This window comes from Homo sapiens, chromosome 11 (genome assembly GCF_000001405.40).
Source record: "Homo sapiens chromosome 11, GRCh38.p14 Primary Assembly".
NCBI classification, from domain to species: domain Eukaryota; kingdom Metazoa; phylum Chordata; class Mammalia; order Primates; family Hominidae; genus Homo; species Homo sapiens.
This window is the reverse complement of record NC_000011.10, coordinates 95,810,454-95,836,062: the sequence shown is the minus strand read 5'-3', so window position 1 is coordinate 95,836,062 and position 25,609 is coordinate 95,810,454. Positions and strand designations below refer to the sequence as shown.

At 36.6% G+C, this 25,609-nt stretch overlaps 2 protein-coding genes across 43 annotated transcripts in view; one reads left to right on the top strand and one right to left on the bottom strand.

Annotated features, from left to right (window-relative positions):
- MTMR2 (myotubularin related protein 2) overlaps positions 1-3,183 on the top strand; it is a 91,228-nt gene extending 88,045 nt beyond the window's left edge. For all 23 annotated transcript variants that reach the window (NM_001440635.1, NM_001440649.1, NM_001440647.1 and 20 more), the window contains one exon: positions 612-3,183. In NM_001440635.1, coding sequence (NP_001427564.1) covers positions 612-773 — 162 coding nt within the window. In that variant the 3' untranslated portion in view covers positions 774-3,183. The remainder of the gene's footprint in view (positions 1-611) is intronic.
- Positions 3,370-25,609, bottom strand: part of CEP57 (centrosomal protein 57) — a 42,680-nt gene continuing 20,440 nt past the window's right edge. For 6 of the 20 annotated variants that reach the window (NM_001440869.1, NM_001363604.2, NM_001243776.2 and 3 more), the window contains 9 exons: positions 22,952-23,131; positions 22,474-22,595; positions 18,160-18,276; positions 17,159-17,236; positions 14,085-14,192; positions 13,487-13,564; positions 8,036-8,277; positions 6,732-6,876; positions 3,370-5,037 (listed from right to left, as the gene is read on the bottom strand). In NM_001440869.1, the coding sequence (NP_001427798.1) occupies positions 4,807-5,037; positions 6,732-6,876; positions 8,036-8,277; positions 13,487-13,564; positions 14,085-14,192; positions 17,159-17,236; positions 18,160-18,276; positions 22,474-22,595; positions 22,952-23,131 (1,301 nt within the window). In that variant the 3' untranslated portion in view covers positions 3,370-4,806. The other 14 variants (NM_001440877.1, NM_001440872.1, NM_001440878.1 and 11 more) reach the window with 10 other exon arrangements.

The following is a 25,609-nucleotide window of genomic DNA, read 5'->3' as shown; positions in this document are numbered from 1 at the left end:
GCATATTTAAAACTTTACTCCTTACCCATTGATAGTTAACAATCGTATAGTAGAAAAATACTACACTGGGGCAGGGTAATCAGTATACCTGGTTCTTAGGACTGCTTGTATGACATTGGACAAATCACTGCTCTCTTTTCTTGCATCTTCCCTCCTCTGTCTGGATAACCTCTAGGGGGTCTTGTTTTAATAAGCTGAAGAAAGTAGCTTTAGGAAAGTTAAAAGCTGAACAAAATTCTGGTCTACTGTGAATATGTTTATGGAATATTAACTACTTAGAACTGTTTAAGACTAAAAACCTATAAATAACAGGGAATCTTCTGACTACTGTCTTTTAATTGTCTTGTTAATTATTTGTTGTATTTGGAAAAGTACCAGTTTCAGGAGCACCTACACAGCAGGTTATTCTTTGGAAATACTCAGGGGCACTGGGAAAGCCAGTGAAAAGATTAGTGGTGTCCACAGTCCCGGTATTTAATTTCACTGATGGGTTGGAAAGGTGCCATTGGTTCCAACAGCTGAAAAAACATACACTGCAACATTTAGGGAATGATTTGACCTGGCTTTGGTCAGGATTGCCTAGTTGAATATTTTATGTTTTGCTCTTGCAGGAACCTATTCACAACAGATACAAAGAACTTCTTGCTAAACGAGCAGAGCTTCAGAAAAAAGTAGAGGAACTACAGAGAGAGATTTCTAACCGATCAACCTCATCCTCAGAGAGAGCCAGCTCTCCTGCACAGTGTGTCACTCCTGTCCAAACTGTTGTATAAAGGACTGTAAGATCAGGGGCATCATTGCTATACACTCTTGATTACACTGGCAGCTCTATGAGTAGAAAGTCTTCGGAATTTAGAACCCATCTATGAGAGAAAGTTCAGTCACTTTATTTATTTTAAATCTCTCTAGGATGAGTTTAGAACTGTAGCAGTGCAGGTGGCTTAAGTGAAGTAACTCCATATGTAATTACATGATTATGATACTAATCTTTTAAGTATCCAAAGAATATTAAAATACTTCAATCCTGGATTCACAGTGGGAACAAGTTTCTATTAAAAGGCAAATGCTGTTACAAATTTTTGGCATCTGGTAATATTAAAACCATTTTAGAAATACACTCTGTGCTCACTGTGCAGAGGAACATCAGTTTTCAAACCAACACTGAAATTCTGTGGCATCACATATATTGGGCCTTGATGTCATGACAGATCAAAATCATTTGATATCCCTTTCTCCATTCTAGGTTTTTCTTTTTTTCAGTAACTGATTTACCTTGATCACTTTTCAACTTCCATATTCTTCATATAGTAAAAGGCAAAGTGTTGAAGATACTACGGTGTGGTAGTAGTTGAAAATTATTGCCGTCATTATTTACATACTTAAGACATATTAGCAAGTTGATCCAAAATGGGAGGCCTTATAGATGTGCTTGGGGGAAAATGAAGGGGAGAAAGTAGCCATACAGGAGTTCAAAGAATTCCATGCCCTTCAGATTAGCCCAATTACCAGAAACATCATGAAAGATATTTTAAAAACTAATTATTTACTACAGTGTATTTCACTTGTCTTGTGTGTCTGAACACACAGAAGCTAATTAGCAAGTTTTTAAGAAGTATTTAAAAATCTTACTAGGATTGACATTTTTTCTGAATTCTGTATAAATAGCTTATAGTGAGAAGTACTGTGCTCAAATTTTACATTTTTTTCCTTTGCAAATTCTGTAATTTCACTCAACGATTAAGTCTACCAAAGAACACACTGCATGTAAAAGATGTATTACAATCTCAAAGCCAGTAAAAGAAATCTTGCTTCACTGTTCACCTGCTACAAGTAAGAGTTTGGTGCTGGTAGAAACATTTGACTCTGATGTCTATTTTATTCTACATAAGAGCCATATGTAATGTACTGTAACAAAGGAGCTTCTTGTCCCCTTGGTCTTTTAATTAAAAGAAATTCCAACTGACTTTTAAACTTTGTTCTTGTCCAAAGTTGCCATTTCTTTTTTTTCCCCAGAAATATTTGGAAATTATTGGAGGAATATGCACCCCAGATGAAAATGTTCAGTTTGTACCCATTTTTCCTTAACCAACACCCAAATCAAACAATTAAAATATACAGTGTTTTTCCACTCACTAATTCACTATACAGAGAGTCTGAACCTTAGCCTCCCTCTTGGTCTTGCAGTGAGGAAGTTTCTATTAGTATATCCAATTTAGCAAAATTGGTACCAAAATGATTTCTTTGGTAATTGTGTGAAATATAAGCTTTTTAACAGGGCATTTAAGTGGCTAGCAAATCAGTAATTAAAAATTAAGCTTTCTACTCCAAGTATTTCACAAACGCATCTGCCATTTTCCTCATTTAAACCTTGGTTATCTTGGCCTGATACCACATAAAAGAATGTAGAATGGCTGAAGAGATCAAGAATTTAAAGCTTCTAGTCTTAACATACTTGCATCCACTTCAAATTCAAATCAAAAGCCAGGGAAATCTAAGTGCAACCCTACCACTTCTCTGCTGAGAACCTTCCAGTGGTTCCCCTCACCTTCTGCAGAAGTCTCCAATATGGAGTACATGCACTTGGGCATTTAATATATACCACTGGTGTGTGTGGGAGGGAGGGAGGAGGAATACTAGCCCTTTTTATATATTTACACAAGCAAAACTTTTAAATATTTGAATTGACAGTTACATGTTTCATAACTTTGTATGTCTATTGGTTGTGCAGGTGTAATTTTTTCCCTTTTTGATTAGGGTTACAAAATTTAGAGACCAGTATGATTAAGTTGAAGCTCCTTAGCCTCCTTCGACCTAGTCTCTGCATACCTCAACTTTTACGTACCAATGCTACTCTGCTGTTCACAATTGCCTCATGTAATCTGCAGATTCCTGCCTCCCCACTTTGGTTCAGTCTGTCTTGTGCACCTGGAACAACTGTTCTCCCTTGTGACTAATTCCTATTTTCTAGAGTTTAGGCATCATCTCTTCCTTTGGGAAGTTATCTGATTCACGACTGCCTTCTCTGACATCCCCACCTTCCTCTGTGCCCCCATAGCACTGTGTATACCGCTACTACCACTGCAATTCACATTATATTGGAATGAACAATTCACATGTCTACCACAAGTCTGTAAACATAACCTTATTTGAAATGAATTGCAATAAAGCTCTGTTACAACGTAAGTGGATGGATGACACATTCCTCTACTGTAAACTTGCAGATAAGAAAATGGAAGCAGTATTTTTTCACTTCTCACCTGACAGTACAAAAAGCTGGAGTAGTTCAGTTTGAATCCTAGCTGAGAAAAGGGGTGGGATTTAGCATCATTCAATCACCATTCTCCTAATTAGGACTCAGAGCCACTACAATTCAAATGATGGTTATACAATTTAATGACCTGAAATTCAAACAAGGAGATAACAGGAGTTTTTAATAGCTGAAATGGTGGTTGACACATATATTTATCATGTCACCAGAGCACTGTTTCTCACTTCCCTTGTGTCTATGGGCTCACAATTATTAATTCAATCAAGCTACGAACCTACTCATTAGAAAACTGGACACAGAAGCACAAGTTTACAATTTCAGGAGAGTCACAAATAATACCCCAAAATCTTAAGGATCCTAAATTAAAGCCTGTTACTGTAGTATCTTGTATCATGAGGAAATCTAATATTCTTGGGCTCTCTTTCTATGTAAGCATGAGTGTGGCAACTAAGTACTAGTTTTTTCTCTTCATCAATACATTGATGTCCTCCTATTTAGAAATGCATTTTTTGAGAGCTTGTCACAAAGCCTTTATTAACAGGCTGTTAAGGAAAGTTGCAGTGTTTCCTTTAAAAAGGTGCTTTATTGACTTTAAATTTATAAAAGGTTAACATGTCTTGATCTAGTTGAAATTATGATTTATATCAACATGATAATTATGTGTACAGTTTATATTCCACTCATACTGTACACCAGTAAAAGCAAATATTCAAAGGGTTCTCTAAGTTTCAAGATTAAAAACCATAATGCCTTGACTGAATATCATGATTACAAAACAGGTATTAAGAACTGTGAAGGTATATGCTCACAACATATCCCTTCTCCCATTCTCACTTTATTCCAAAATCTCATTTATTTCACTGACAATTTGTTTATACTTTCAAAAATCCTTTTATAATTTTTATAGATATAACTCAAAATGACTGCTTGGGTCTTTAAAAAATTAACAGATTAAAAAGCAATACAAGTGCACTTAACACTGATCAAAGTCTGAAATGCCAAAAAGCAAAATAAAAATCCTCTGAAATATATATGTATTTTTAAATATAGAAAAACTCCACCAATAGTAGAAACAAAGTATGTTTAATGGTTGCTTTGGAAAGGGGAAGTGGGCACCTCATGCCAGGGAGATTTAAAAATGAGACTTTTCAAGCAAGCACTGCCTATAGCATAGTCTCATATTTTGAAAATTTAAACCTAATTTTAATTATATATAAAGAACTATTTTAAAAAATCACACCCACAAGTAAAAAACTGGTAATCTGTTTACAAAGTGCAGCGTCAGTACAGCAAACTCATCTCAACAAAAGATTATGTGTGGTTTCTCGGGCTTTAAAACTCCCCTGGTTTCCATTTAAATGCTTTAACATTGAGTCATCCTGCATACATGAAAAGCCTGTGTAATGAAGCCTGGGTCCTTTAACACCTGCTATTAATTAATTCCAACATAAGTGAGTATGAGACCTGGGAAGTAAATTGTCATCATCTGATTGATGAGGTACAGATTATCTGAATAAAATTTCTGACCTGGTTATGAGTCAGTAATCCCAACACAAACTACTGCTTTGTAATGAATTCTGTATGCTTTGCATGTCCTTCAATAACTGAAGATTTTTTCTCCTTTTTTCTCCAGGTCTCAGTTTCATAAAATCTTTCTTATTTGTGGTCCCTGTGATTCCAGAACGGCTGCTGCTGTTTCTTTCTTCATCAAGAGTCTTTTTGGTAGCTTTTAATTCCTTCTTCTGCTTCTCTAACTTCTGTTTCTCCAGCTATACCAAATAACCAAGGCAGGAAGGAAAAGGAGAATTTAATGAAAATATTTTTTTTCTGACAACAAAAAGTACAAGAGTACCTTTTTTTGGTTAACTCTCATGCTAACTGAAAAATAATACATTCTAGGCTTTCTTTTAAAGACTTCAAAATCTACTGCACTAGTCATTTAACACTTAAATATTAATATAAATAAATATATGCTTATATATATATAAAACAATACACAAACAAGTAGACATGAGTAAACAAATTCTGGTTGTCCTAAATTAAGGCAATATTGCCAAAGTACAGAACAGGGCGAGTGAGAAACAAGGGGAGTTGAAGGAAAGACTCATGAAGGAGGCAAAAAATCAGACACAGAGAAAAGAAGAATGGGAAGGATTTTCACAAATGGGAGAAGAGGAGAAAGATATTCTAGAAACTAGTCTGAGGAGGCAAAGAAGCAATTTCCAGATGGATGAACAGATGTAATTGGTAATGTATTAATACTATGAAAAGAATTTTATTTTTGTTCCATTATTTTTAGAATAATTTTAAATACGGGAGCTTTATTTTTACTTTAGCCAAACTGATGCTGGCATGTTGGTGTTCCAATAGAATAAGTCTAATTAGTATAAGCAACAAATTAGACCATTACTCCTTACTCCTACAGGAATAATTTGCTTGTATTTCTTTTTCATACATGAACTTTGAAAAAACAGCCAAAGTTTTAGAGTTGAAAAGGCTAGTTTCATCCCAGCTCTGCCATTTCCCAGTAAGCTGGTACTTGGGCAAGTTATTTAATTTCACTGAGGATATATGCATACTTCCCAGAAAATGTGGCTTAGCATCTACCTCATCTATAATATGAGAATATACCCACCTCAGAAGCCTTTTGTGAAAATTAAATGAGAAGATATACTCAGAGCACTTGGCACTGTGTGTCTATCATATGGCTACCAATCAACAGTCAACAAAACTGTTCTGCTCTCTGAACTTCTCAGCTTTCTCCATTTTAGTCAGTGGAATCACCATCCTAACTCCCTCTCCTTCTACATGATACCCAGCAGCAAGTAACCCCAATATTTTTTTTACTTCCAAAACATACCTCAAATCTGTTTACCTCTGCCCAAACCCAACTACTGTCTTGCTGACCACCTCTGATACATCTATAGCTGATCTCTCAGCCTCTCTGCCTTGATCCCATTACCCTACCCCTAGTCACTACAGTAATCTCTTAAATATATGAATCATGTTTCTCTCTGGTTGAAAACCCTTGAGTGTGATGTCACCACTGCATCTGGTAGTACTACATTGTTGGCTGATATAAAATGATTAGCAACATAAATATATTTCACATATTTAATGTATGACTTATTCCTTTGGAAACAGAATTTCGCAGGTGCTTTTAAAAAAACTTACTTGGATAAACTCCAATTTAAATTCATCAAAGAAGTTAAAGCTTATTCATAAAGAATATTAAATATATTCAGTATTTGAAAGATGTTTCTTAGATGAATATGCTAAGTGACTAAAAGTGTCTTCTTTCTTAATCCACTTACCAATTCTCAATGAACAAATGTCTTCAGTAAAGAAGTATCTCCTGTAGATATTTATCTATGATACACTTAGTGTCATCATTTAATATTTGAATTAAAGTGTTTTTTTTTTCTTAATCATTAGAAACTTGAGTGAAGGAAAACTGAGTTACCTGGGCTTGGTATTTTCGAACTTTAGTTATTTGGTTGGCTTTTGCTTCCATCCTTCCCACTAATGCCTCCAATTCACACTCCAACTTGTCTTTCAGTTCAACGGTTGGCGACTCCTGGATAAGTTTTGCAAGCTGCTGGTGATCACTATATACAAAGCAGAAGTAGAACATGGTTAAGTTTTCTGTGTTTCATGGTTAGGTCTATTATACCTCATTATGGGTTACTGCTCCATGTGTTTAAAAAATGACTCCATTTTTTGAACAGAGCAATAAATTTTTTTTTTTTTTTTGAGACGGAGTCTTGCTCTGTCGCCCAGGCTGGAGTGCAGTGACATGATCTCGGCTCACAGCAAGCTCTGCCTCCCGGGTTCACGCCATTCTCCTGCCTCAGCCTCCCGAGTAGCTGGGACTACAGGCGCCTGCCACCATGCCTGGCCAATTTTTTGTATTTTTAGTACAGACAGGTTTTCACCCTGTTAGCCAGGATGTGATATGCCCACTTCAGCCTCCCAAAGTGCTGGGATTACAGGTGTGAGCCACCATGCCTAGCCTAGATCAAGAAATTTTTAATTAAAAATATGAATTTAAAAGTTCAAGAAAGGCACTAGAGGGAAATGCAAGAGTTCTTAATTTCAAGGTTAATTCTTTATATTCTTATTTTCCCCAAAAGAGTATTGTATATGTAAAGTCTACAGATGAATCTTGCTCTTCAAACACTCATGTCTTATCAGTTAAGTTTAGCTAAAATGAATGTGATGTCAGGTGCCAGATGATGATGTAGTAAACAACAGACCACATATACAACAGTGGTCCCGTAAGACTTTAGTATCATATTTTTACTCTACCTAGATGTTTATATACACAAATACTTACCATTGTGTTACAACTGCATATAGTATTTAGTAGTAGAGTAACATGCTGTATAGGTTTGTAGCCTAGGAGCAATAAGCTATAAGCTTAGCACACTCTTATGTTAGCACAAGGAAAAGAAAATCGCCTAATGATGTATTTCTCAGAGCACATCTTTGTCATTCAGTGATGCATGACTGTATATCATAAGTTCTCAAAGAAATAAAACTTAAATATAAACCTTGGTCTTCAAAACATTTAACAGTATTTAAAAAGAGAGAGATTTTACCCTTATTAGTTGTATTTGTTAAAGTCCCAGTAACTTGGTTGGTATAAGGATTGTGCTCAACCATACTTGCTCAACAAAGGAAAGTAAGATTTAATAAAGTCAACAAGTTTTTAAAAAATGAGGTTTTAGAGCTAAACTGAATTTAAAAAAAAAAACAAAAACTCACAAGCTCATTTGCCCAAATTCATCCTGTAAAGTCTGTAAGACTTCTGACAACTCCTCATTAATACCGTTGGAGGAGGGAGGTGTTACTGACAACTTCTTACTTTTACCACCTCGTGAAGATACTTGCTTTGCCAAAGGAATACTGTTGATGACTCGATCATTGCACAAAGCTTTACTGTGTTGCTTCATTAGATGCAAGACAAGCTGAACATTGGCTACCACGGCATGGCTAGGGCTTGTGGACTAAAGGAAGAAAAATGATGAAAGAAGTAATTGAAGTTATATTCTCTACACCACTTTCTATTCCCTAAGCCTAGGTAAAAAGAACTCTCCACCCCCTAAAGTAGAGTATATAAATCCTAAAATTATTCTCATCATGATGTTCTTCTATTTGAAATCCTTTGATATAAATCCACTAACTATGTTTCAGAATGGAAAATAAGGCCCTACATACACATCATTGAGCTGCAACCTACATTTCCTAGCCTCATGTCCTATCATCCTCCCCTTCTCTCCATTTTGTGAACAAACCATATTTGCAGATGACATTTTTTTGGTGTATTAGCAACATTTATATCATTCTTTAAAACCCAGTTCAAATATATTATTTTTAAAGGCTTCCTTAAAACTGCCAGGTAATCAATCAGTCCATTATCAGATCACCTATAACACTTTTTACATCTCTCTCATAGCATTTATCATATTTTAATTGCTTTTACATATCTATTTCACCTATTAAACAGTGTACATCCAGGTGGTAGACACTATTGTTCATTTCTGTATCCTGGAATAATAGGAAGCACTAAATTACATGTCTATCACGTGTGTAAGAAAAACCTGATAGACTTCTCAAAGATATTTTGCTTTTGTTTTAAACACTAAACCAACAATCTCAATGTACTATTCCACTTTATAAATAGATGGCTGGGCTTACTTGGCTCCATAAATATTATTAGAAAGCATATTTAAAATGCAGGTTCCTAGGCAGCACACCAAACTCACTGCAGAGTTAGGGTTTGGAAATTTGTGTTTTCAAGTCCTCCAGTTGATTTTGATTAGCCAGATTTGGAACCACCATGCTAAGCTAAACATATGCTTTCCTTCTAATCTTAGTTTCTATTGTTAGCTAGCAAAGTGAATGCAGCAGTATTATATATCACATCCAAGTGGGAGTTTATTACATCAATGCAAGGCTGGTCCACTATTCAAAAATCAATCGATGTAACCACTATTTTGCTCGTAACTTGTAATATATATTTAGCATACTAATTGCCTATGAGTACACTTTCAATATGCAATAATTTAAAAAATTCTCGTTCTGTTATTTTTCTGATTATATTAATATGCACTTGACCCTTGAACAATGGAGGGGTTAGGGGCACCGACCACCCATGTAGTCAAAACTCTGCCATAATGAAATTTTTTTTTCCTTCAACTTTTAAGTTCTGGCGTACATGCGCAGGTTTGTTATATAGGTAAATGTGTGTCATGGTGGTTTGCTGCACAGATCAACCCATCACCTAGGTATTAACCCCAGCATCCATTAGGTACTCTTCCTGATGCTCTCCCTCCCCGTTGACCAACTCCCCCACCAAACAGGCTCCAGTGTATGTTGTTCCCCACTATGTGTCCATGGGTTCTGATCATTCAGCTCCCACTTATGTAACTGAGAACTATAATAAATTTTGCCCTAAAATGTAATAGCCTGCTGTTGACTGGAAGCATTTTTGTTTTATGTATTGTAAGCAATATTCTAAAAGTAAAGTTAGAAAAAAATATTAAGAAAATCCTAAGGAAGAGAAAGTATATTTACTATTCATTAACTGGATCACCATACAGGCCTTCATCCCCATTATCTTCACTGTTGAGTAGGCAGAAGGGTAGGGTTGGTCTTGCTGTCTCAGGAGTGGCAGAGGCAGAAGAAGTGGAGGGGGAGGCAGGAGAGGCTAGCACATTCTGTGTAACTTTACAGAAATACACTATAATTTGTCTTGACTTTTCTGCTTTTTCATTTCTCTAAAAATGTTTCTATGAGATACCAATTCTTCCACCATTTGTTTTAGTTTCAGTGATGTATCATAGAAGGGTCGATGTCGTAAAAGTCAAAAGCAGGCTGGGCGCAGTGGCTCAGCCACTGGGATTACAGTGGGATTACAGAATCCCAGCACTTTGGGAGGCTGAGGCAGGTGGATCACCTAAGGTCAGGATTTCGAGACCAGCCTGGCCAACATGGAGAAACCCTGTCTTTACTAAAAAAATACAAAAATTAGCCAGGCATGGTGGCGCGTGCCTGTTGTCCAGGTACTTGGGAGGCTGAGGTGGGAGAATTGCTTGAACCCAGGAGGCAGAGGTTGCAGTGAGCTGAGATCGTGCCACTGCACTCCAGCCTGAGTGACAGAGCGAGACTCCGTCTCAAAAAAAAAAAAAAAAAAAAAGTCAAAAGCAGTCTTGAATAATTAGAACCCTTCTGTCAGATTATCTAATGTCAACTTGTTTTCTGACATTACTTCTGTGTTGTCTTCTTCATCTTGTGGCACTGGTTTGAAAGCACTCTTATCCATCCCAGTCATCTTCTGTTAATTCCTCTATCATGGTGTCTACTGACTCTTTAATTTCTCCAAAATTCGTATCTTGAAATCCTTCACCTCCAACCTTTTTTGCCATATCTACCATCTTTTTCATGATTGGCTTTGTCATAAATCCTGTGAAATCATGCATATCACCTGGAGAGTTTTCTCCAACAGGAATTTATTATTTCAGACTTGATGGCTTTCATGACTTTTTCTATAAAAATGATGGCATCATCTTCAACTGTAATCCTTCCAGACCCTCATAATGTTCTCTCTGAAGTTCTCTTCCACAGCATTAAGAACCCTTTTTATAGTGTATGTAATGTGCCTTAGAAGTCCTTATGCTCCCTGATCCAGAGGGTGAATTAGACACACTGTGTTTAGGGACAAGTAGACTACTTCCATGCCTTTGGTGTTGAACTTCCATGCTCCTGGGTAGCTAGGGGCAATGCCTAGTATTAAAAAGACTTTAAAAGGCAGTCTCTTACTGGCAAATTACTTCCTGACTTCAGGGACAAAGGATTGATGGATCAATGTTTTTTCTAAATCCAGTTTAGAAAAAGGGTTCTCAAAGGGTCATTCTTGTTGTAAACCCAAAGACTGGCAGTTGGGTATATTTCCCCTTGAAGGCTCAGGGATTAGCAGCTTTATAGATAAGGGCAGTCCTGATTGTAAATCGGATTGTGTTTTCACAAAATAGTAGATTTAGCCCGTCTCCTCTTTCCTTAAATCCTGGTGCTGACTTGTCCTCCTTACTTATAAATATCCTTCGTGGCATCATGTTTTTCCAGAATAGGGTACTTCTGTCTGCATTAAAAGCCTGTTCAGGAAGATACCCTTTCTCCTCAATGATTTTCTTAATGGTATCTTGGGATTCATCTGCTGCCTCTTGGTCAGCAGAAGCTGCTTCTCCTATCTTGACATTTTTAAAGCCAAACCTCTAAAATTATCAAGCCATCCTTTGCTGGAATTAAATTCTCCAGCTTTAGATACCTCACCTTCCTTTTAAGTTGTCATATAATGACTTTCCTTTTTCTCAAATCATATTAGAGTCTACAAGTATGCCTTTCTTATAGCAATCCTGCATCCACATAAAAGCTGCATTTTCAATGAGATAAAAAGCTATTTTGCAAAAAGCACAAGGTTTTGGCACCTGCTAGAGTAGCTGCAGTGACAGATTCACAATTTCCTTTTTTTTTTAAAAAAAATTTTTTAAAGAGGATCTTACTCTGTTGCCTATGCTGGAGTACAGTGGTGCCATCATCGCTTACTACAGTCTCGAACTCCTGGGCTACAGTGATCCTCTTCTGTCAGCCTCCTGAGTAGCTGGGACCACAGGTGCACGCCAACATGCCGGGATCATTTTTTTTTTTTTTTTTTTTTTTACAATAGGCCTTCAGCTGGATTCATTTATTTTGAAATGGTGGACAACCGCAGCTGCAGACCTCAATCTATGGTACATATCAAGCAATGCAACTTTTTCTTGTCATGTCATGACTTTTGTCTGCTTCTTGGGAGCACTTCCACCATCATTAGTAGCACTTGATATGGGTCCCATGATATTATTCAAATTATTTACTGTATTGTGCTAAACATGATGGAAAATATGGAACTGCTAGAGAACACTTTTTACTGTGATACACAATTGACTGGAGAGATGAACTGCTCATTTGAAGATGATTAGCGTCACGTGGCATTTTAAGTGAATACTCCCAACCCTTGAGCTCATCACAATGGCAACAGAAGGTGGCTACAAAATTATCAGTCGTACAGTATGTACTACAGTTAATTTTATACAGTTATGATTTCATACTGCATCTTTATCTCTGTTTACATTTCTCTGGACTGTGAATGGCGTCACGTAGTCTGTGTGCAAATTGTTTTGATAAATTATAATTAAAAAAAACTTGTGTATATTTTATGGTAGTAAATGATAAAATGCACTAGTATTGACATAGTCAATTTTATGCATCTATGACATACCAACTTTTTCTTAACTTCTGATATTTCTAAGCTATAGTTTGCAAGTTTTTTCAAATTGCCAAAAATCTCCAAAAAATTTTCCAAGATACTTATTGAAAAAAAAAATCTGCCTGTAAGTAGACCCACACAGAGTTCGGACTCATGTTGTTCAAGGGTCAACTGTACCTTTTTCAAATGCTTGTCACCACTAATTTATTATATTCCCCATGATTTCACTGCGAATTTACTAGGGGTTTAAAATAAATAAATATAAACAAATACAAAATTCAGAAGAACATTTACTTCCCAAGATGCCAGAATAACAATCTAGTTGGAATCTAAATATAAAACCACCAGCAACACAAACAGCTTATAAAGTAGTGTCAACTAGCACAGTTTTAGGCACTTCACTCAGTACTTGATATATGACAATACAGCTTTACATTCAAGTGCTGAAGAAACTGAAGATTCAAGTGTACGTATGACTGCTTCTTGGAGAATTAGTCCTAGAAATGATCTGGATGTGAGGACAAGCAGAATGTGCTACGTGCTTATTCGAATATCTACCTATATCTAAATGTAACTCAACAGGATTGATACTAAAAATCCAATGCTACAAACATACTATTTCTTATTTCCTTGACCCCTATCTGAAACAACACCTTCTTCAACTTAGGGTCTCTGTTTTATCACTTCCTTTCCACATATACTTTATCTACTTTAAGGTATCCTCCCCATCTCTTCCTTGCTTCCCTAATCCCCAAAAACCTCCCTACATCTCATTTTCACATCACTGTGATCCACACACTGGTAAAGGCACAGAAAAATGTTCCTTCCATTTGTAGACATACTTGCAGATGCAGGGACTTAATTCAGGGATCAATGTTGTATAAAAAGAATCCGGAGTTTGACCAACTCACCTTCCCAGCTACAAATGGCATATCACCCAAGCATAATCTATAATGTGGTTGTGCACCAAAATAGTTCCTAGAACTTTTCTGAATGAAAAGAAAAGGAAAACAATTTTATTTTATTCACATGATAATAAAAACTGACTATACATGACTAACTTGAAACTTCAGTTAACTACTAGGCTACTACTTGCCTTATCTATAGTTGGCATTATGATCACAAGCCAGCTCCTAATAGTACTTGTTAGCATATATCCTAGCCTAGGAAAGGCTGGGGGGAAAAAAGCACTTGACAAAACAACAGTTACATTCTAAGTAGAAAATCAGTATACATATACACAAAACATTGTAAGAGCACAAGATAATGCAGTACTAATAATGCTAATTTTGTATGGTGTTCTGTAGTTCCAAAATGCTTATATATTTTCTCACTATCAGGATAAAAATTTAGGAGTAGGTATTACTTATCTCCACCTTCTGAATGAAGAAATTGAGAATGAAAGATTTACTCTCTCAAGGTTGTAGTACACCACACAGTTTATGGGTGTTTTGACATAAACTATACCAAGTAATCAGCATTTTGCCTGATTTGGTTCTGTCTTCACACCTTTTCTGGTGGTTTTGACTTCTTTTTTTTAATTCTTCTTGCATTGGGAACACACGGAGTTGCCTTATCTTCAAAGATAAGTCTATTTGTTTCTAGACCAGTCTGCAACTAGGAAAAATGAGAGCCTCAAGTTAATGCTGTAGAAATAAAAGCTATGACTCAGATTTCAGATGTGTCATGTAAAAAGCCTGTAAAAACCAATGGTAGTATCTAACTGAAAAACATATTACAGCTGTATAACTATGTCTTGAACCAATCTATCAACGTTTGTCAAATATTTTAAATAAATACCAGTCTCTCATTTTATCTTGACCTTCTGTTATAATTTGTCCCTTCTTCAGCGTGGAACACATTATCTCCAGTATTTGTAGTTACTCCATAAATTCTATCTAACGAGTTAAATGCAATGTATCTAACCCCAAACCATTGCTTAAATATATTCTTTTCAAAAATGGCATCTACTACATTACCAGACACAAAACAGCCGAAGAGCAGAATACATTTCTTCCCTTTCTAAAAAGCCATGCACTTACTATATAAGAAAAAGGAATTGAAAACTTATATCCAAAAAAATAACAAAAAACAAAAAACACTGGAAGCTATCAGGCAAATGTTACCAAGCCCTTTTCTCTAGAAGCTGAGTAACTATACTAATTTAAAAATAACCTATCTTCATGGTAGAAATTCCACAAGCACTAAGAATTTCAAAAAAGGACTGCTCTTTTCACTAAGCCAACTTTCAACTTTCCTTTTTAAAAAAACAAAACAAAACAAAACAAAAAACCTGTCTGGAATAGTGTTTGTTTCAAATCTGCCTATATGTACCAAAACTGTCTGCAGTTTATGAGGACAATTTGGACTGCCAGGTGCCTGTCCAGATCTCATGATTTTGGCCTTTCCAGATTGGGGAAATTCATATTTTAAAGTATTTTAAGAGTTCCCCAGGAAATTATAATGGAGCTAGAACAAATATTCAGAACCACTGGATTCCATAAAAACAGATACTAAGATTATTACTAATACTTCCCACATGAGTGCAGCTTTGGGGTAAAAAATCTATTCCATGACAAAGGAATACAGGAATCTCTACCCTCAGGAAGCATCTATACACTCCAAACACACCTAACATTGCTTTATATATAGTAAATTGACTAGACACAATTCAATGAACAGGAAATTACTACTCTAGAAGACTTATGATGCCAATGAGTGTAAACAGTATACAAGAACTTTTTTTTGAGTATTTTAACTTCCAGTTTATTTATTCTTCCCAGCAGCTGTATATTTCTGTGCTACAGTTTTAAAACATTTTAAAGCACTTTCATTATTTTTTATTCTCATTTGATCACACCAACACCAAGATGCAAAATGCAGAACACTGTTTTTTTTTTTTTTTTTTGCTCTTGTTGCCCAGGATGGAATGCAGGTGGTGTGATCTCAACTCAGTGCAACTTCCACCTCCCAGGTTCAAGCGATTCTCCTGCCTCACCCTCCCAAGTAGCTAGGATTACAGGCATGCACCACCATACCCGGCCAATTTTGTATTTTTAGTAGACAGCGTTTCACCATGTTGGTCAGGCTCAAACTCCTGACCTCAAACTCCTGACCTCAGCAGACCACTCTTTAACAATGATAAAAATCCAGACTCTGAATAGTTATATAACTTGCCCAACACTAGACTTGGAACCACACATCTATCCCTCATTGTTCTTTCAGTACAATAATATTCACCATCAACTCAAAATATTTACTGGTAACATATTACCAGCAACATCTAATTTGGTCCCTATGTGTTGCCTGCTAAATGAAGGAGAAAATAGAAGTACCATAAATAATTTTAAAAATTCATTAAATAAGGAACTTACTAAATTTTGTATTTCATATATAATGTACTCAACACCACAATGCATATAATAAAGCACAACCCACAAGTTTGTTTGTTACAAGTATGGAAATGGAAACACAGTGAAGTGGCCAACCCTAAAGAGAAAATGGGCAAAGAAATTTTGTTGGTCAAAAATTAAGCCATGTGGCTATATAACTCAGAAAGCACACTGAGGGAAAACAACAACAAATCTACAAATTGATCAGAAGGTAAATATTTGAGAAGGAACTGTATCAGATTTAATACAAAATAAGTCAATAAATTTAGAGATGCACTAGAAGAAATAGACAACATAACAAAGATAACTTTTATATTCCTGTAATCACATATATGAAGTGAGCCCAAGACATTGTAGGCCTTTGGTCACAGATTGAACTGCAGAGGCTCTACTCCTTGGAATCGAGACCTGATTCTTGTGTTCTTACGAAAAAAGATACATGCAAATATCATAAAAATAAAAGACCCTGGAAGGGGCAGGGGAGTATCTGGGAGGAATTTGAGCAAATACGCTCATAACGAGAGTGTCTTCAGTTAAAAACATGAAAATTTTATTTTACTGAGTCTGTAAGTCAGACTTACTTCAGTAGTCTTGCTATATATCTCCTAGAAATGCAGTTCTGGTTGGTACATATAAACTCAATGCTTTTGTGAATCCACACTGCCTCACCTATTCTATCTGGTGGCCACTGCATGGGATAAAATCCAAAAGTAGGAGAGAGTAGAGCTCATTTTCCTCATGTGGTGGCTTCTGTTAACTGGTCTGGGTCAATAGCTATTGGGGCATCCCACTACCTCAACTTCTATCCTGGCATCTTGAGGCCACCAAAGAGAAGTACCTATAAGTACAATACTGAAAGATAGCTTTTAAATATTACTGATAATGGCCGTAAGAAGTTTTACATGATTACATACCTTCTTATGTGTGTAGTCTCTGATGTTTTTTAGTCTGTTATTTTTTAAAATGCTGATTGAAACTCTACAATTACAAACATGCTAAAAAACTGTTCAAATTTTACTCTGTCTATAAAAATACTTGTTCATAATTTTCTACATTAACCTATATCTGAAAATTTGTATGTTGGACTATTCTAAAATACAAATAATGTAAGATACCTAAATGTAATTGTTTACTTGTACACAAAAAGCGGTAAGAAATATGAAGAGCCCACTTTCTCACATTTTAACTTACCTCAGCTGCCTTAGCTTGCATGCGTTTCCTTTCCTGTTCTTCTTCATGGAGTTTTGCTTCCAACTCTTGCATTTTTTTCTAGTGATAAAAATGTCAAAAGGGATAAAGGTGAAAAATCTTAAGTGTCTGTAAAATTTTAATATAGCAGCACTGGAACATGTAAATTTTATCCTACTCAATATAAGGTGGTTAGATCACTGTAGTAATGGAGGCTGTGAGCTGGATGGCATCCATGATGCTCTCCTTTTGTGTTCAATTATTTATCATCTGTGAGGTAGCTGGACAAAATTATGGGTAAAATCTATGGCCAAAGAACACAGCACTGCATGAATGTAAAGAGGGATAGGGAGGCTAAATCTGGAACTTTATTATCAGTGGTATTAAATATCTCCCAAATGAAATAATTAAAACTAAAATTAGCTCAGAGAGCAACTTAAACCAAGTGATGCAAGCCTTAAGGATACTCAAAAACATTTAATTTTTTTTTTTTTTTGAGATGGAGTTTCGCTCTTGTTGCCCTGACTGGAGTGAAATGGCGTGATCTCGGCTCACAACAACCTCCGCCTCCTGGTTTCAAGCGATTCTCCTGTCTCAGCCTCCAAGCAGCTGCGATTACAGGCATGCGCCACGATGCCCGGCTAATTTTTGTATTTTTAGTAGATACGGGGTTTCACCATGTTGGTCAGGCTGGTCTTGAACTCCTGACCTCAGGTGATCCACCCGCCTTGGCCTCCCAAAGTGCTGGGATTACAGGCGTGAGCCACCACGCCCGGCCAAAAACATTTAATTTTTTAACAAACATTTTCATAAAAAAAAATGCCCACCAAGATTGTAAAATGTGAACATTCTCTCCAAATTTATATTTTCTTTTTAAAACTCCAATATATTTCTTCATTATAAGATCACTTTTAATGCTATAAATATCCAGTGATGTAAAATAATTAACATTAAAAAAAAACCACCCTGATATATGTTAACAATAAAAAGACACATGCACTGACTTCTGCAAGGGCCTGCATTGTGGTAAGTTTGTTATACTCCTGTTCAAGAAGATCCAATTTTTCAAGTTGGCTCTGAACATGTGTTTGATCATGTTGTCGTTCTCTTTCTAGGGAAACCTGAAAAACAATATTCAATACGGCTTGATAATTTGACAATCAAAAAAGAGAAAAACACTGAGCAGTGTTTTTCTATGCTGTTATTTGGCCCTTCACATAACTACTTCTAGGAAAATAACATTAAGATGAAACCATAGGGGGCATCAATAAATGACTGATATAAGTGGATACTGTTCTTAGCTCAGTTGCCTTGGCTTATAGCTATTTACCTAATATGTAGTTTTATATAGTGACATTATCTTTATGCTCTGGGATAGCAGGGATTTATTGGACATATAGGCTTCACACACAAATACTTTTAGTTTGGTCCTGTCAAGTAGTTAATCTCTTAATTAGGGTAAAAATTATGGTTTTGGTATCTATCTTTTCATATTTCCCTTGAATTCTATGTATAATATCCTTTTATACTTTTTTTATTTTTGAGATAGAGTCTCGCTCTGTCGCCCAGGCCAGAGTGCAGTGGCTGATCTCGGCTCACCGCAAGCTCCGCCTCCCAGGTTCATGCCATTCTCCTGCCTCAGCCTCCCCAGTAGCTGGGACTATAGGCGCCCGCCACCACGCCCGGCTAATTTTTTGTATTTTTAGTAGTGACGTGGTTTCATCGTGTTAGCCAGGATGGTCTCGCTCTCCTGACCCCGTAAGCCACCCGCCTCAGCCTCCCAAAGTGCTGAGATTACAGGCGTGAGCCACCGTACCTGGCCCTAAACTTTTTTTTTTGAAGTTTAGAGTCAAAGATTTATAAAGATTGCCTCCTATATAGACTTTGTTTTTTTTTTGAGATGGGGTCTTGCTCTGTCACCCAGGCTGGAGTGCGGTGGCATCATCTCAGCTCACTGCAACCTCTGCCTCCTGGGTTCAAGTAATTCTCCTGCCTGAGCCTCCTGAGTAGCTGGGATTATAGGCGCCTGCCACCACGCCCAGCTAATTTTTGTATTTTTAGTAGAGATGGGGTTTCACCATGTTGGCCAGGCTGCTCTCAAACCCGACCTCAAGTAATCCACCCGTAAACCATTATACTAGGATAATTTCAAATATACTAACTCAAGGACTATTATTGGTAAAAAGTGCCTGAACTTGTAAACTGTGTCTTCAAAATAAGGCTACAGCAATAGGTACCATATTAATAGAAATTTGAATATGACAAATTAATATAAAGCAATAATTTAGGAATTTGTGTGAACTAATTCCCTTCTAGCCACATCCTAGTGGATATTAACAGCTCTTGACATCTATTACATATGCCTAATAGTTGTCTCCAAGACATATATTAGTCAAAACATCTTAAAGTTGTCTTATTAAACTGACCCCTTTCTCCAGCCCAAAAATCACAGAAATGTTAGATAAACACAGCAGACATAATAATAATATATGATTATTGATGTGGTCTACCTCTGTGTCTCCAACCAAATCTCATCTTGAATTGTAATCCAAATTGTAATCCCCACATTTTGGGGGAGGGATCTCATGGAAGGTGATTAGATCATCGTGGTGGTTCCCCATGCTGTTCTCATCATAGTGAATTCTCATGAGATCTGATGGTTTTAATAGGGGCTTTTCCCCACCTTGCTCTGCACTTCCCTCTCTTGCCACCATGTGAAGAAGAATATGTATGCTTCCCCTTCCACCATAAGTGTTAAGTTTCCAGAAGTCCCCCCAACAGACATACAGAACTGTGAGTCAATTAAACCTCTTTCTTTCATAAATTACCTAGTCTTGGGTGCTCTTTATAGCAGCGTGAGAATGGACTAATACAATTACACAGCAATTTTGAAAGCAAGAAAGGAAAATCTTCAGATACAAAAAAAAGAGAAAGGAACTCAAAAGCAAATGAAAGGATACTGAAGTCAAATATCACACAAGGCAATATTGGAGCCAGGGTACATAAAATGTGCAGGAATATAAAACTTTAGGCAATGTATAATCCACAATGATCAACAATATCAAGCCAATATAGTAACATAAATCTGGAACAGAACCAGTGATTTTATTTATTTATTGTTTGTAGAAACTGGGTCTCGCTCTATTGCCCCGGCTGGTCTCGAACTCCTGCACTCAAGTGATCTGTCTGGCTTGGCCTCCTAAGTGCTGGCATTACAGGTGTAAGCCACCCTGCCCAGCCAGAACCAGTGAAAACCATCAAGCCTAACCAAAGGCAAATTCACAACTGGCTCACAAGGCTGCCCACACAACTGAGGAATTTATTGTGGAATTAACACAATAAATGAAAAAATGAGACCACCATATAACTTTTCTTTATTAAGTTCCCATAAAAAAAAAGATACCATAAGGGAGAATCAATAAATAAAGCCAAACAAACGAGGATTAACACTTTGAAAACATCAAATAATTAAAAAAAATTGAGAATTGTTTATAGCGTTCAAAGAGATAGAAGGAAGGTATAAAAACCACAGAGTAACAGTACATTCAAAGAACAAAACTAAGTGGATGGAAAAAGACCCAAATGAAAATGAAAAATTATAACCACTGAAATAAGAGACCTATCACACACAAGAATTAATTACTGAGACATCTTCTCAAATACTGTTGTATGATTGCTCAAATATTTAAGTCTAATTCTCTCCAATGAGAACTGAAAGCTGACTGAGGGTAGAAAGCATACACGGTAAGCCCTCTGTATCTGTGTGTTTTGCATCCATGGATTTGATCAACTGTGGATTGAAAATATACGAGAAAAAACAAAAAAGGATGGTTGAATCTGTACTAAACATACACAGATTCTTACTCTTGACATTATTCTCCAAACAATATAGTACAGCAACTATTTACATAACATTTACATTGCATTAGGTGTTATAAGTAATCTAGAGATAATTTATAGTATATGAGATTGGGTGTAGGTTATACGCAAATACCACACCATTTTATAGGAGACTTGAGCATCCATGGATTTTACTATCCACAGGGGTCTGAGAACCAATTCACTCATGGATACTGAAGGACAACTGCCTAGTATTTTTTTTTTCCATTGCAGGGCATCTAGCATAATGTTAAGCATATAAACAATCCGATTTTATAATAGAGTTAAGATGTCTACAAAACTAATGAATGCAAACTCTAGATTCATAACAGAAAAAGGAGTAAGTTTTAAAAAAATATACACAAGGCTGGCCGGGCGTGGTGGCTCATGCCTGTAATTCCAGCACTCTGGGAGGCCAAGGCAGGCGGATCACATGAGGTTGGCAGTTCAAGACCAGCCTGACCAACATGGTGAAACCCTGTCTCTACTAAAAATACAAAATTAGCCGGGTGTGGTGGCACATGCCTGTAATCCCAGCTACTTGGGAGGCTGAGGCAGGAGAATCACTTGAACCCGGGAGGTGGAGGTTGCGGTGAGCTGAGATCACGCCGTTGCTCTCCAGCCTGGGCAATAAAAGGGAAACTCCGTCTCAAAAAAAAAAAAAAAAAAAATACACACAAGGCCAGGGACAGTGGCTCATGCCCGTAATCCCAGAACTTTGGGAGGCCGAGGCGGCCTGATCACTTGAGGCCAGGAGTTTGAGACCAGCCTGGCCACATCTATACTAAAAATACACACACACACAAAAGTTAGCTGGGCATCGTGGCATGCGCCTGTAATCCCAGCTACTCGGGAGGATGAGGCATGAGAATCACCTGAGCCTAGGAGGTAGAGGTTGCAGTGAACCGAGATCATGCCACTACACTCCAGCCTGGGTGACAGAGTGAGACAGAGTGAGATCCAATCAATTGATCAATCAATATATTTGAGACTGATGTTGAGATATCTTCTCACAAATGTACAGGTCACCTAAATACGAAGATCTCTGGTGTAAGAAAGCACAAAAATGCTATGCTAAGTAACAATTCTGAAGAGTTTTACAAAGTCATCTACTATCTCACTGGAGTCATTAAACAAATTTCAGAGATACAGAGGTATATGGTTATTTACACTTTTTATAATGTAGACTCAAAGAAGCTAACATAACTTTCAAACATCTCACAACTGTATTTTTACCATTTAAGTAAAACTCTACGAAACACAACAATAACAACAAGAAAAAGCCAATCACATATTTAGATTTCATAACTGATGCCAAGAAATTTCAGTCCTGGGCTGTAACAGCACCATTAATCCTCACCGAAAGAAAAAAAGTCTTTATTCAATTAGTTTTCCCCATAACTGTTCTTGAGTATCAATCTGTGAGGTGCTTTACTTACTTGTTTCTCTAAGACAGATGTCCTCTCCATTTCGGCATGCTTTATCATATTTCGCATGTATTCCAATTGTTTTTCTAATAGATTGCATTTATTTTCTGCAGCTAACAACTGAGATGTCAGTTCTAAAAAGAATACATAAGAAAAGCAGAAATCAACTCACCCATAAAATAGTTTTAACAAGCTGTTAACAGGAATTGGATCTATTGTGTATACAATAAAAACACCTTCCACAGACCTGGACGCCTTTTCAGATTACCTAAATCATTCTTTCTACGTGCTAGTCAAACTGGCCTTGCATTCAGTAAATAAATGCCATGTATGACAACAGCATTTGCTCCTCAAAATGCACCAGAATACAATGCAGTTTTGTAGTACTTGAAGATACCGCTACAAAACACTAATGTACTATTTCTTTTAGAATACTTAATACTGCACAACACTTATTTTGATAGAATTTTAATTTTCTTCATCAACAAACCTTGATTGTGCTTTGATTCCTCATTCTTTGAATTCTCCCTTTCTTGTATCTGTTCATCCAGTACTTTCTTATATTCAATTGTTTCTCTAGACAAGGTTTTCACACTTTCTTCTGCCTGAATCCTCTCAAGTTCCAAGCGTCGAATCTTATCTTGAAGATTCTTAAGAGCAGAAAATATGGCTGCCAAATACAAACACAAACGTGGATGCTGTAACAGCATATGCGGAGAAAGTATATTAAGAAAGAATAAACTCATCTAAATAAAAAATAAAATTGATGGATGAGTCCAGTGGAGGATCACTCTTTGGGAACAATAAAATGTTAATTATCTCATATTTGTTTTTTAAAAAATCAATTTAAAGACATTGAGTGGGCCGGGTGCGGTGGCTCACACCTGTAATCCCAGCACTTTGGGAGGCTGAGGTGGGTGGATCACCTGAGGTTAGGAGTTCGAGACCAGCCTAACACAGTGAAACCCTGTCACTACTAAAAATAAAAAAAATTAGGCAGGCATAGTGGCGGGCGCCTGTAATCCCAGCTACTCGGGAGGCTGAGGCAGGAGAATCGCTTGAACCCGGGTGGGGTGGGGAGTGTGGAGGGGTGGAGGTTGCAGTGAGCTGAGATCGCACCATTGCACTCCAGCCTGGGCGACAGTGAGATTCTGTCTCACAAAAAATAATAATAAATTAAAAAAAAGACATTGAGTGTTTGAAATGTGCTCAAGTAAAAACCCCATTACTATGGTAAAAAAATTTCAAAGACTTTTATAAAGTGGTAAAAAATTTAGCCAATCATACAAAGTTCACATAACAGTCCTAAAGTACATTACTGTCTTATTAATATATTACTTATTAATTAAAATTAGTAAATGTATTAGTAACTATTACTTATTAATACATTTTATTAATAGGAGCACATGTAGAAACCAACTATAGAGTTACAGTCAAGCACACAAAAATAATACTTTTAAAATCCGCATTTTAAGTACTTTCTAAAGTCCGCTTCAAGTTTGATTATAAAATTATGTTGACTGCAGTAAATGTAGAAGACTGAGAAAAAACACACTGAAAAATAACCAATAATCCTATTACCCAAAGATAATGACTGTCATTTGGTTATTTAAATTTTTTCCTATATGTGTAAAATAAATTGAGACAAAACAAATATGTAGGTTTTTTCACTTTAGCATTATTAAATAGTGAGAATTCCCTCAGGCAATCAGTCTTAAAAGATTTTCTAATGATCAATAATTAAAAACTAAAAAGTTACTGGGTCAAAGAAGAATCATAGCCATTCTAATGAGAAAAATATGCTACTCCTAGTTATTTTCCATTTCCATCAAAGTATAAATCTTTTCATATATGTTATTGGCTAATTTTCTCCCTTTCATGAATTTCCTTTGCCCATTTTTCTATGGGAAAAAGTTTTCTTCATTTTATTATCTGCCTTTAATTCTAGTTTTGATGTACAGATGTTTTGATTTTTCACAGAGGTATACCTAATTCTTTCCCATCACGTTTTTTTTTTTTTTAATTATACTTTAAGCTCTAGGGTACATGTGCTCAACGTGCAGGTTTGTTACATATGTATACATGTGCCATGTTGCTGTGCTGCACCCATTAACTCATCATTTACATTAGGTATATCTTCTAATGCTATCCCTCCCCCCTCCCCCCAACCCACGACAGGCCCCGGTGTGTGATGTTCCCCACCCTGTGTCCAAGTGTTCTCATTGTTCAATTCCCACCTATGAGTGAGAACATGTGGTGTCTGGTTTTCTGTCCTTGCAATAGTTTGTTCAGAATGATGGTTTCCAGCTTCATCCATGTCCCTACAAAGGACATGAACTCAATCTTTTTTACAGCTGCATAGTATTCCATGGTGTATATGTGCCACATTTTCTTAATCCAGTCTTGATGGACATTTAGGCTGGTTCCAAGTCTTTGCTATTGTGAACCGTGCCGCAATAAACATACATGTGTATGTGTCTTTATAGCAGCATGATTTATAATCCTTTGGGTATATGCCCAGTAATGGGATGGCTGGGTCAAATGGTATTTCTAGTTCTAGATACTTGAGGAATCGCCACAGTCTTCCACAATGGTTGAACTAGTTTACGATCCCACCAACAGTGTAAAAGTATTCCTATTTCTCCACATCCTCTCAAGCATCTGTTGTTTCCTGACTTTTTAATGATCACTTTAATGGCTCAGGATTGTCTTGGTAATGTGGGCTGTTTTTTTTGGTGCTGTATGAACTTTAAAGTAGTTTTTTCCAATTCTGTGACGAAAGTCAGTGGTAGCTTGATGGGGATGGCATTGAATCTATAAATTACCTTGGGCAGTATGGCTATTTCCACGATATTGATTCTTCCTATCCATGAGTATGGAATGTTCTTCCATTTGTTTGTATCCTCTTTTATTTCATTGAGCAGTGGTTTGTAGTTCTCCTTGAAGGGGTCCTTCACATCCCTTGTAAGTTGGATTCCTAGGGATTTTATTGTCTTTGAAGCAATTGTGAATGAGAGTTCACTCATGATTTGGCTGTGTGTCTGTTATTGGTGTATAAGAATGCTTGTGATTTTTGCACATTGATTTTGTATCCTGAGACTTTGCTGAAGTTGCTTATCAACTTGAGGAGATTTTGGGCTGAGACGAT